The following is a 13,727-nucleotide window of genomic DNA, read 5'->3' on the forward strand; positions in this document are numbered from 1 at the left end:
CGGAGGTGGAGTTAGTCCCACCGCACCTAGGGGCGCCCCTCGATGACAGCACAGGCCTGCTCCCGGCCTGAGCACCTGCAAGGCCGCGAGGAACCCTGGAACATCCGGTTGCTGGCGCACAACTCTCTGGGACCGGAAGCAGGTGAGGCAGAGTGGGCGGAGCCGCTCAAAGCCCGCGTCCACGTTCTGCTCCCATGCCCTGCTCCCATGCCCTGGCTGCAGGCGCCTGCGGAGTCTATTGCCCTCTATCCCTCCTGCTGCAGCCAAGCAAAGAGAGGGGCAGAGAGCAGCTACAGTCACCATAGCCACTTTCTAAGGCACTCCAGAACTTTTCCCATCTCAGGCAGAAAAATAAAACCCAGCAAGAATTCTTTCCCCTACTTCCTGTTTTACACTAGACCACAATTCTTAAACTTGGAAGCCAAGCATTTGGTCCTTCGGATATTTTGGTCTTTTTGGTTTCACTCTCCTTTGGGGTAGAGGTGCCAGAGAAAATACAGGGCGCTCAGTCTCAGGAAAACAATAAACGTTTAAGTATCGTCCATGCATTACTTGGGACATACTGAAACTGTTGTTTATCTGTTATTTTCAAATTTAACTAGGCATCCTCTGGTTTTATTTGCTAAATCTGGCAATCCTACTTTGGGAAAACAGAGGCCACTTCTTGTACCCTCAGTCAGGGTAGTGTCGTAGGGAAGAAGGCGTGTGTTTGTCCCTGGGAGGTAAGTGATCTTGATATTTCACAATATCATCTCCTCACACACCAAAAAAGCCTCCCCTTCCATGAACGTTTTTAAAGGAAGCATAATAGTGGCATTTTATCTGCCAAACCCACAGAGTTGTATCCTCTCAGGTATTTATTTGGAACAAATAAAGCTGTCATGTATTACATAAGATAGAATGCACATGTTTCTGCAAATAGCGTTGATGTACGGCAGGCAAGCCCCAACACTGTTTGACTTTGTCCAGGAAAGAATTCAAGAGTGAGCCCCTGGTGTTAGCAATCTATTATTGAACCGTACTGCTCCTTGCCGGGCTAACTCATAGGCAGTGTGCCCAGAGCCACACTTGTGGGCTCTTGGCAAGTGCATTTATACCCACTTGTGCCCACTTTCAATCACATGCAAATTGAGGGTTGGGTTATTCAGAACTTTCTAGGAAAGAGGAAATAACTTCGAGTCACTGCCTTGGAAAGGGCCAGTAGCTTCCTGGTTGTTGCCATGGCGTTGGTAAACTGAAATGGCACTGATGGGAGTGTCTTATGTGAATGAGCAATGAGGGCAGCCAGGCACCTGGTTTTGTCACCATCTGCTGGTTCCTGCTGGTTTTTTCACTTCATCTTGTGGGGATAGGGAGGTAAGTCCTGCTGGTCTCCTCCCTCATTTCCCTCTCAAAGATTAGATATTGCTCCTTACTCTTAAGGGGACAGCAGAAGAGCAGAGGTCTTTCTTCTGTAACTGCTTCTTTCTGATTTTATGGGCATAGGCCCTGCCTAGTGTTGGAGGAGTAAAATCTCTGGACCTGATCTAAGGGGCCCTATGGAAGGATGTTTGTATTCTCCGAGTCAGACAACTGGATGGGTGGCAAGCCTTGTGCAGCATCATCTTCACATGGAATTGTCATAGTCTAGAAGGCACAGACTTTACTAAGAAGTTAAACAGCGATCAGGTGTGGTGGCTCACGCCTGTAATCCCAGCACTTTGGGAGACCAAGACAGATGGATCACCTGAGGTCGGGAGTTCGAGACCAGCCTGACCAACATGGAGAAACCCCATCTCTACTAAAAATACAAAATTAGCCAGGTGTGGTGGTGCATGCCTATAATCCCAGCTACTCAGGAGGCTGAGGCAGGAGAATTGCTTGACCCAGGAGGCACAGGTTGCGGTGAGCCGAGATCGCACCATTGCACTCCAGCCTGGGCAACAAGAGTGAAACTCCATCTCAGGGAAAAAAAAAAAGAAGTTAAGCAAGGGTCAAAAGTTAGTAATAATAAAATAGCTGTCAAAAGTCTTAGGAAAGTTAAAAAAAACAAACAAGTGAGAATAATGGGTGTGGTTTATTATTGCATACACTCTTCCTTGTCATATTATGTATTTGTGCATTTGTGAAACAGCAGCTTTAAGTCTTTTAGGGGTTCACAAGTGTAAGTCATGTTGTCCTCCTCTTATACCTGTGGAGACTTAAGAGAAACAGGTTTCATCCTGGACAGGTTTACCCAGCTAGTGATTCCCTGAAGTTTAATAGCAGTGAGGACACTTTACAATACCTGATGAGTTGTAATTGATCCAGTGGTGGGGGGGTCCTTTTTAAAAAATTTTCAGTAAGGCAAAGCTGCTGGTTGAATAGGGGAGGCTATTCTTTTCTTTTATGGGAAAGGGCAATCCTTTATTTTCATAATGTTGGAAGACCGTTTGTACCTTGCCCAGATTTCAAGGGGAGGCACAGTGAGGCATGTCCAACCCCCTATTTCATGTCATTGCCTGAGTTTTTCAGGTTTCTTTGGGATTCTCTTTGGCCGAGGGACTTACAACCAACTAAACATTCTAGGCCAGACAGGAATGGAGGTAGGCAGGCATTCATTAGCCCTTAAAACCCTTTTAAGCAATATAAGAGTCAAAACCTAAAAGCCAAAAATAAGATTATACATCAAGAAAAAACCAAGAGTACAGGTTCAAGTTATACTAGGAGAAAACATTGCTTTTCTAGGCATTAAGATAAAATATTTTAGCATCTTAGCATCAGGCCATAACAACAGTGGGAACCAGAGGAAAAAATATTACAGGCACTGATGAAAAAGCTAAAGGAGATGGTTATCATCATGGGCCTTCCCAAAGGGGGACAGTGCTGAGAGCAGCCTGACACAACGGTTGAACTTTTGAGTTAGGAATCTGTATTAGTCCATTTTCATGCTACTGATAAAGATATACCCAAGACTAGGCAATTTACAAAAGAAAGAGGTTTAATGGACTTACAGTTCCACATGGCTGGGGAGGCCTCACAATCATGGTGGAAGGCAAGGAGGAGCAACTCACACCTTACATGGATGGCAGCAGGCAAAAAGGGAGCTTGTGCAGGGAAACTCCCGTTTTTAAAACCACCGGATCTCGTGAGACTTATTCACTATCACGGGAACAGCACGGGAAAGACCCACCCCCATGATTCAATTACCTCCCACTGGGCTCCTCCCATGACATGTGGGAATTGTGGGAGTTACAATTCAAGATTAGATGGGGGACATGGCCTAAACATATCAGAATCTGTGAAGTTTTTCAAAGAAACATGTTATAGAATTGAAAAGCAAACATTTTTATAATTTTATTAACAGCAAATCTGTACCTTAGGGAAACCTTGTTTTAACATGGGACCGTTCTCTAGAAAGACTATTAGAAACAATTCTCTTTTAATGACAGCCAAATTAATTACACACAAAATTCCTTTATAAATTCCCCTTTACAAACCTTATCACAACTTAGACCACCTCTGACACACTTGGACTTTCTGACTTGTCTAATACTACTGCTTATTTAAATAATCAGTCATTCTACCCTAGGACAAGAATTTATCATATAAGATCTTTTTTATAGAAAATTATTCTTTATATCCTTCCTTACCAATAACTTTTTTTTACATCTCTCTTTTCTACTTACTGGTTTCTTTGTATTTTGAACTTCCTTTTTAATAACTTCTGAATTAGACAAAGACTATTCTTTTTCCCAATAAAGGATACATCTTCTTTGGCTTATTTTATATAAACCTAGGAAGCAAGAAATCCTAAACTGCCTATCAGATATTGGGACTTTATAGATAAGGAACCATTCTATAATTTTAAGACTTTAAACCACACAAAAAGCTCATCATTTAAAGCCGTTTTAATCATTCTAACACCTACAAATATCAGTGGTTTACCTAAATAAAAATTTTAAAGTTAAATTTTAGAAGATGCAATATTCCCTTTAAACTAATAAGTTTAGTCTTACTTGTTTAATTTATGAGCGATCTTTTACTTATAAGCCAATTTGACAGCACACTAGACACAACACACATCACACAAAGTGACCTATCCAAGACAGCTGGATCCAAGTTATTTGCAAAATTGGGACCTGTCAACCTAGCCAAATTTTGTTTGCCCTGATAGGTATGGAAAACAGGGAGAGTCAAGGAAGGGGATCCCGTAGAAGGGAGGGGGCAAACCCCACTGTTCAAGGGGAGACCTGAGCCAGCAGAGAGTCCACTTAGCAGCAGAGACACCAAAGAGAAACATCCAGACGGCCACTTGTCTGCCACAGAGGGAAGATGTCTGTCAGTCAGGTCAAGGGCCTGGGACCCCCAGTAATATCACTTGAGCAAGGCAGCTGGTTGGGAGCAATTGGAAGAAGGTTAGCTCTAGTATTGACGGTAGCTTTTTCCCTCTTTCATCAGGATGGTTAGAACTTTCTCATTGACAATGGCCCTCTTGTTTACAGTAGGCACGCTGATTCCAGCCCAGGGGCCAGCAAGTCAGGGGCTTTCATCTGGGTATCCCAGATGCTGATCTCATGACACTTTCTTGGGATAGGTAACCCTGAGGGGCCAGATGGTTTAAAGCATTCACTAGCAATTGTGCTTTTTCGCTATTTCTTTTGGGTCTCTCTGCCCTCTTTGCCCTGTCCCTATTGTAAACTCTAAAGACCATGTTCCAGAGTTGGCTCATCAGGGTTTGGGGTCCCACTGCTGCTTTTTATAGCTTCCTCCTAATGTCAGAGGCAGACTGAGTCATAAAATGCATACCCAAGAGAGCTTCCACTTCTGGGGTGTCTGGATTTACCTTAGTAAATATTTCCTGAGTGCCTCAACCATTCAGCCCTGAATGGGATTTTCATTTTTTCCCTAAGTTACTTTGTTAACATTGTTAGGATTACTGGCTTAACCACACACCTTTTTCTCTGCCTCTTCTGTGCAGCACAGAAAGTGGATGACAATACTTGCAAGTCATGCCAAGTAAATCAAAGGACATGGTCAATTTAATAAACTCTTCTACAAATGTTCCTGGATTCTCTAAGAACTGGCCAGATTTTTCCTTGCATAAAGCCAAGCCAGGCATAGAAAAAGGTGCATGTACTCTGATTATTCTTTTATTCCTTTTGGCTACCTCCCACAATGGACACAGGTTTGATTTCAGGGGCTGATACAGGACCACACTTTTGGTGGTACTGGTTGGGCTTACTTCCTCAGGCAGTAGGGGGGATAGGCTGGGGACAGTTGGATAAGGAGAGGGGTACCTGATGACCTTGGGGTGGAATCCTGTGTTACAGACCTGGTGGGAACCCTCCCTCTGAATTGGGGGAGCTGAGGAGACTCTGGAGGAGGGTGTAGGCCTTCTAGGGGGAGCAGCTAGGAGGGAATTCCTTAAGCATGACTTCCTGGTGCCTGGAAGTAACATAAGCCAGTAAAGGGCCATAAAAGCCTGTACATAAGGGACCTCTTCCCATTTTCCTTTTTTATTGAGACTTTGCTCTGTCACCCAGGCTGGAGCGCAGTGGCACAGTCACAGCTAACTGCAGCCTCCAACCCTTGGGCTCAAATGATCCTCTTGCCTCAACCTCCCAGAGTAGCTAGGACTACAGGTGCATACCACCATGCCCAGCATTTTTTTTTTTTTTTTTGTAGAGATGGGGTATTGCTATGTTGCCCAGATGGGTCTTGAACTCCAACCTCAAGCTATCTTCCCTCCTCGACCTCCCAAAGTGCTGGGATAAAAGGCATGAGCCACTGCACCTGGCCCCTCCTTTTTTTTTTTAACCAAGTAAGTCCAATTATAAAATAGCATTATGGTATAAAGAACCACGTTTAAGCCAAATCTCTTGGTTTTCTAATTTTTATTGGACCCAAATGATGCTGCAATAGAAAATGAGTTTCTTTTTAAGTCGAATTTCAATTTTCACCAAAAGCCTTAAAGACACCCTACTGGCAAGTCTTTTCGGATGTTCGCCATTGTCCGCTTGTCTAAGAAGAATCTTCACCAGACAAAGAAGCTTTTCTAAGGCTAGTGAGAGGGAAAGCAACTGGGCCCTCGCAGTTCTTCCTTTCAGATTCGCACTTCCTGTAGGGAAGGTGTACGTATAGGTAGCAAGGTATTACAAAATATATTATAAGTGTTTGCCAGTGAATTAAACACTACAGAAGTATTTTTATTAAGCAACGTGCAGAAGGAAAAGTGTAAATAAAGTAACAATAAGAAAAGAAAATGCTTCTATGGAAAATGATAACTTTAGGGCAGAAAACAAGAAAAGGCAAGACTAAGACTCCCCTAGGGTGGGCCTCCAACCCACAATCCTAGAGGGAATGTCAACGCTGAAAACCCCAGAGCATCTTGGGCGTAGCCAACAATACCAAATATCAAAAACCCAGAGTACCCAAGTATCAGCCAATGAGGATCCCCCCACCAAATACCAAAAGCCCTAGAGCATCCAAGGAGCCAGGAAACAGTGAACCCCAAAGGCCAGGTAGGGCCACAGAACAACGTGATTCTGGTGTCTCAGAATCAACACAACAGGAGACCTCTCCAACCAAGTGTTCTGCCTTAAACAATTACCCAAATACAGTTAGAAGGGAACCAAAGCAAAAGCTACAAATGAAATATGCATTTCAGGCTGGGCATGGTGTCTCACACCCATAATCCCAACACTTTGGGAGGCCGAGCCAGGCGTTTCAAGAGCAGCCTGGACAACATGACGAAACCCCCTTTCTACTAAAAGTACAAAAATTAGCCAGGCGTAGTGGTACACTACTGCAGTCCCAGTTACTTGGGAGGCTGAGGCATGAAAATTGCTTAAACCCAGGAGGCGGTAGATGCAGTGAGCCAAGATCATGCCACTGCACTTCAGCCTAGGTGGCAGAGAGAGACTCCATCTCAAAAAAAAATGTATTTCAAGGTGGAAAATAAAATGAAACGGCCAATGGAAAAATTATGTGGATGGCATTAGGGGAGAAACAATGGAGAGAAAGGCTGACAAGGACATGGCAGGTCAGGTGTGCTTCTGTCCAGGGCAACCAAATAGCGGGGGGCTTTGAATTGACTACCTATCCAAAGGCCTCATTTCCTGCCTCACCTGATACTGTTGGGGGTGGGGGGGGCAAAGGGGACACTTACCTGTCTGCAGAAGCCACAGTGGTGCCAACCAGTCTCTAACATGGCGCTCAGGCGAAGGTCTCTTCCCCAGGTTTCCCCAGCTTGGGCAGACTTGGCAGCTGTGATGTGTCCAGCATGTGGTCCAGTGCCCAGTCAGCCGGGGTAGTGGGTCTCACACAAGGCAGCGCTGTGGCCACTCACCCGTCCACTCAGTTCTGCTGCCACCACCTGCAAGAAAGACCATGGCTTTCAAAAGGCGTGTGGCTAGTGTTCCAGCTCTCTGCAGTGCCAACAGCTCTCCACAGCTTTGATCGCCACATCACCAACCACCAACTCCTGCTTCTTGCCATCTCGCCATCTTAACAATCATGGACTGTCACCTCGCACCATCCCACTGGTCACGTTTTGCCATCTTGCTGTCTCTTGCCATTGCTGTGTCTCACTGTCTGGCTTCTTCCCTCTGTGGTTGCCAGGATGATGCAGGCAGGTGAGCCCCCAAACTGGGGCTTAACCCAGGAGGGTTCTTGGCTTTATGCAGGAAAGAATTCAAAGGCCAGCCAGCACTATTAGATAACAAGCTTTTATTGAAGGGCACTGCTGCTTGCAGAGGAGAGCTAACTCCTAGGCAGTGCCCCCCAGAGCCACACCTGTGGGCTGCTGGCAACTGCATTTATATCCACTTATGCCCACTTTCAATTACATGCAAATTAAAGGCCAGGTTAATGCAAACTGAGGGACAGGTTATTCAGAACTTTCTAGGAAATGGGAAGTAACTTCCAGGTCCTTGCCAAGGAAAGGGGCAATCACTTTTGGATCGTTGCCATGGCATTTGTAAACTGTCATGGTGCTGTTGGGACTGCCTTATGCTAATGAGCAGTGAGGGCAGCTAGGGATCCCTTTTGTACCATCTGCCTGTTCCTGCCAGTTTTTTCACTTCATCCTTTAAGGATCAGGAAATAAGTCCTGCAGTTCTCCTTCCTCAGAGTGACAGCAACCTCAGCCTGCTCTCATGACTGTGTTTCAGTCACAGACAGTCAGACCATATGGATACAAGGGGATTCAACTGAAGTGCAGTGAAGCCCCCAAGGTCCCTCCTCACACACACACTGATGCTTGCTGAAAGAAGCAGAATGGCAAAATGCTCTGCCGTCACTCTGGTTGATGTGAACTTACTCTCAGTGTGAACTTAGATGGGTTACTTCACATCTCTACGCCTCAGGAAAGGGCTGGCATGGAAATAAACACACTATAATGTAAACTTTGGAATCAGAACAGATGACTGCACTGAAGTAGGACATGTGCCACTTTATAAGCAATTTAGATCCATTGGGAAAAAGAAATTAACTAAAGTTACTCACCCTTCTCAGAAATGTCCACCAGTGAAAGTGATTAAGATGGAACATGTCATCAGGTTACTCATAAAAACAAAACATCAGTGTTTGGGGAAGACCAAAACTTGCCTCGTGTTTGTCTTTTGCTGCCATGTCCTTAGTTCCAGAGGCACCTCTGCCCTAGGACTGTGCCTCTGCACAGAAAAGTGGGGTTCTTCACTTTGGCGGGAACCAGCAGATGGCAGGAAAGCATCCCTAGCTGCCCTCATTGCTCATTAGCATAAGACACTCCAACCAGCACCATGACAGTTTACAAATGCCATGGCAATGACCTGGAAGTTACCGCCCTTTTCTGTGCCAGTGACCAGGAAGTTACTGCCCGTTTTCTAGAAAGTTCTGAAAGGCATTTTCTAGAAAGCAAATGTGCAAAAGCAAATGTGTATGATTTGCGTTTCCCCTGATATGCTCAGAACTTTCTAGAAAATGCCTTTTAAAGCCCATCTTCCCTCACTATGAGGATATTCTCTACAGCGAGAAGTGGGAGACATGAAAGACATAATTTGCCTTTTTCCTGATATGCTCAGAGCCAACCTTGCCCAACTGTCTTATATCCTCCTGCCCCGCCCATCCTTTCCCCAGCATCCTCCTTCCAGTTTCCTGATTAATATTCCTTCCATTTCACGCTTCTCCCTGGGGATGGAAGTTATCATACTCACACGCAGCTACCCCCCTTGGTAACACTGTGACCGCTCACCCACGAACCTGGACCTCCAGACTCATTTTTGTACTCTTTATCCTTTCTTAAGAGTGTGTGTGTGTGTGTGTGTGTGTGTGTGTGTGTGTGTGTGCCTGTGTACAAGAATTTGAGAAAGTAAATTAATTTGGTGTTGAGAGAAAGGCTGAATTTTTCTCAGTCCCCATGGGCTCTTTCATCCAGTAGCACTGGAATGACCAGGGACAATCCCAGGTTTGAGTTTCTCCTGCTGACAAAGAGGCTCATATACAAAAGGGCCTTAATCTGGCTCTGGGCTTTAGACCTGGCTGCAGGTACCCTGGGCCGTAAAGGACAACAGCAAGACATTGCGGAATCTATTCTCACCTAGGGCCTCTGTGGCTCTGATCTCTTTGCTTAGAGGGTCACAGGTCCCCACACCTCCCCCTCTGCCCATGTTCTTTCCTGATGAAGAAGAAGAAAATAGAAACAAATCCCCTGAAGGCTCTTCTAAGAAGGATTCAAAATATTCCTTTTCATTCTTTTTTTTTTTCCTTTGGCAACAGAGTCTTGCTCTGTCGCCCAGGCTGGAGCGCAGTGGCATAATCTTGGCTCACTGCAACCTCTGCCTCCCAGGTTCAAGGAAGTCTCCTGCCTCAGCCTCCTGAGTAGCTGGGACTACAGGTGCATGCCACCACACCTGGCTAACTTTTTGTACTTTTAGTAGAGATGAGATTTCGCCATGTTGGCCAGGCTGGTCTCGAACTCCTGGACTCAAGTGATCTGCCCACCTTGGCCTCCCAGATTGCTGGGATAACAGGTGTGAGCCACCATGCCCAGCCTTCATTCTATTCTCTCTGGAGCCATAGACACTCAAAAATTGGCCATATTCACCCAGAGTTGTGCCTTTTTAATCCTATCTTCCCTCACTATGAGGATATTCTTTAGGTATGTCATCATAACGGCCCGAACAACCAGTGGATGAAGTACTTCTTTGGCTTCTCATATGTGCCTAGAACTGTTCTAGGAATTGCAGGCTGACAAAAGGAGCAGGAGCAACACCTGCTTTCAAAGACCTTAGAGCACTGGACAGTCCCAAGCGGACTGTCCCACCTGAGGAAATGGATCTACTTAGTCACGGGGCTCACACCACATCAGCCCCATCATTGCAGCCACCCTGTGACTCAGACTGGGATGCTTGGGGCAGAAAAGGCCTCAAAGAAGTCTCTGAGCAGTTAAGTGCTTGACATTGGCAGCGTGGTTAGGTGAGGGGGATTTTAGAGGACCGGCACCCTGTTTCTCTTTTGGCCATATGAATTTCCGCTGCACTTCTTCTGGGGCTCCAATTACCCCAGTTATCCTTTCTTTTACTCCAATTATCCTTTCTCTTATTCTAACTATCCTTTCTTTTACCCCTCAGCTTTTTTTCATCTCTCCCAAAGGATGACAGGCCTCCTAATCAGGTTTAGAGGTCAGGAAGGAGACAAAGAAAAAGGGAAAACTTACGCCAAGTCCTGTTTTGTTTCTATCCAAGACTCTTGACTTTAAAGAGCTCCAAGGACTGGGGAGAAGCGAAGGGGTATCTATTAATAGGAGTCATGAAGTCAAAAGGCATCCGACTGAACCTCCTTCTTCTGTCCTGCTCAGAACAATGAGAAAAAGCCAAGGTCAAAAGCAAGGCCAGGTTGGAAGGATTATTAGAAAAGTCATGAGGGAAAAAGCAGTTCACTCTCCTTGAGCAAATGTGAAATACACTTCTTATAGCAATAAATAATCATGCAGGATGGGGCGTACATGGTGTAAACACCTTTAATACAATTCTAATTTTCTCTTTGCTTCAAGAGCCACAGATTGTTATGGCAACAAAACAGAAAAACAGATCACAGTATTAATTTGATATCTCGGCTTCCTTTGTTCCACATTTGCAATACAGCACTTGCATAATAAACAGCCCGGGCTGAGCCAAAGCACAGAAAACACCAGCGCCACAGAAGGCCACTGTGGGGCAGCCTCTCAACCTCGAGTTCTGTTAAATAAAAAATAAATAATAATTTTCTACAAAGAGTAGCTGTTGGGCCTCCCACACAATTTGATATTTGATTGTTAACACTTGACAAGCAGATAATTCTATTCTTGTCCGCCCGATGCCAATATAATGGAAAACATCAAAAGGCGGTATCGTGCTGCAGGGACAGTTCTCCACTGCAAGTTTTCAGCAGAAGAAACTTGCCTGGCCCAGCTCTTAATTCTCCATTTGCCTGGGCCCTTCCTGCATTCCCCCTCATTCCTCCCCATGAGAACAGACGAATACAGGCTTGTATTAGCTTCCTATTGCTACTGTAACAAATTACCCTCAACTTAGCAGCTTAACAACAACACAAATTTATGATGATACAACTTTGGAGGTCAAAAGTCTACAATAGGGCTCACTGGGCTGAAATTGAGATGTAGGCATAGTTGTTTTGAAAAGATTACTTTGCAACTTGAGTAATCTTTTCAAAACAAAAATCTGACTATTTAATGTGGAGAAAAAGTCTTAAACTTCTGATGGAAGAATAAACTGGTAAGATACTCCTTGGATAGAAACTTGGCACTACTTAGTAAAGTTGAATATTCTCTTACTTATATTTTTTATATAATTTCCATAATTTAAAGATACCTTTTAGGCCAGGTGCGGTGGCTCATGCCTGTAATCCCAGCATGTTGGGAGGCCAAAGCAGGCGGATCACTTGAGGCCAGGAGTTTGAGACCAGCCTGGCCAACACGGTGAAACCCTGTCTCTACTAAAAATACCAAAATTAGCCAGGTGTGGTGGCAGGCGCCTGTAGTCCCAGCTACTCAGGAGTCTGAGGCACAAGAATCGCTCGAACCCAGGAGGCAGAGGTTGCAGTGAGCAGAGATCATGCCACTGCACTCCAGCCTGGGTGACAGAGAGAGACTCTGTCTCAAAAAAAGAAAGAAAGAAAGATACTTTTTAATGCCAATTTCTTCAAAAAAAAAAAAAGTCTAAGATTGTTCACTGCACTGCTGTTTATAATAGTAAAAACCTGGAAACAAGATTGTTCACTGTAGGCCAGGTGTGGTGGCTAATGCCTGTAATCCCAGTGCTTTGGAAGGCTGAGGTGGGAGGATCGCTTGAGGCTGGGAGTTCAAGTTCAACCTGGGCAACATAGCGAGACCCTGTCCCTACAAAAGAAAATAAAAATAAAAATTAGCCAAGAATGATGGCGCATGCCTGTAGCTAAGACAAGAGGATCACTTGAGCCCAAGAAATCAAAGCTGCAGTGAGCTATGATAGCACTACTGCACTCTAGCCTGGGGGACAGAGCAAGACCCTGTCTCTAAATAAAACAAACAAATAAGAGCCACCTCTTCAACATACACAAATTTCAAGAACAATGTTGAGCCAAGAACCAAGTGGCATAGTGATACATACAGTATGTGGTCCTTTGCTTAAAGTTTAAAAACCTGTTTAAACAAAAAACCAATACCACATAATATACATATGGACCCACAAATAAGTAGTAAATGTATAAAAACAGAGGAAAGAAAATAAAATATGACAGCAAGAGAGATCGTACTTGCTTAGGGCTGATGGTTAGAGAAAGCTTTCTGTGGAGATGCTTGAATGACAGGAAAGGGCTGGGGCTGCAGGCATGGGGACAGGAGCTGAGGCCCCTGTACACCCTGGGGCTACAGAGCACAGCTGCAGGGCTTGACTACTTGGAACCAAATCCTGCTCTGCTGTGTAACCTATGTGTGACCCTGGGCAAATGACAGAACGTCTCTGCCGTGTCTATAGCAGCATAATAATGGCATCTGCCTCATAGGGGCGCTAGATGAAATAGTTGGCCTGAATAAGTGACAGCAATGCCTGGCATGCAAGGAGGACCCTGTCAATGTTTGCTCTTATTTCTATTCCAGGCAGAGGAAACTGTAAAGTCAAAGACTAGGGTAGGGGAGGAAGGATAAGCAGAAAAACACTGAGAATTTATATACTGGCAAGAAACCCAGGTGACTGGAGCAAAGCAAACCAGCAGCGAGCGGATGTCATGGAGGCTGGAGAGCCAGGCAGGGGTCAAAGTCCCCGTGCAAGGAGCTTGGCTGTCATTCCATGGGCTACTGGAGAGAGAAGCCGTGGAGCAATGGGATCCGATGTTAACTTGAAAGAGATCACTCTTACTCACCAGTGAAACTGAGTGAACTACTCACATGCTCAGCCATTTAATGGATCTAGAGGGAATTATGCAGAGTGAGAAAAGCCAATCCCAAAAGGTTATATACAGCATTGATTCCATTTACAGGACACTGTTGAAATGACATTGCAGAAATGAAGAACAGATTAGTGGTTGCTGGTAGTTAAGGAGGGGTAGAAGCATCCGGACGGTGGTTATGAAAAGCCAACACAGGGATCCCTGTGGTAATAAAGCCGTTCTGTAACTTCCTTGACTTTGTCAATGTCAGTATCCTGGCTATGATCCTGTACCATTGTTTTGCAAGATGTTACCACTGGGGGAACTGGTTAAAGGGTATACTCTTCATATTATTTCTTGAAACTGCATGTAAACCCATCGTT

General features: G+C 44.9%; 1 long non-coding RNA gene across 1 annotated transcript; it reads right to left on the reverse strand.

Annotated features, from left to right (window-relative positions):
• Positions 1–5,769: 5,769 nt before the first annotated feature.
• LOC105376409 (uncharacterized) lies at positions 5,770–10,774 on the reverse strand. The gene is made up of 3 exons (XR_930656.2): positions 10,658–10,774; positions 7,130–7,336; positions 5,770–6,079 (listed from the first exon to the last, which is right to left on the reverse strand). It is a non-coding gene; the product is annotated as an uncharacterized LOC105376409 (long non-coding RNA).
• Positions 10,775–13,727: the final 2,953 nt, after the last annotated feature.

Source organism: Homo sapiens, chromosome 10 (genome assembly GCF_000001405.40).
Source record: "Homo sapiens chromosome 10, GRCh38.p14 Primary Assembly".
In the NCBI taxonomy this organism is placed as follows: domain Eukaryota; kingdom Metazoa; phylum Chordata; class Mammalia; order Primates; family Hominidae; genus Homo; species Homo sapiens.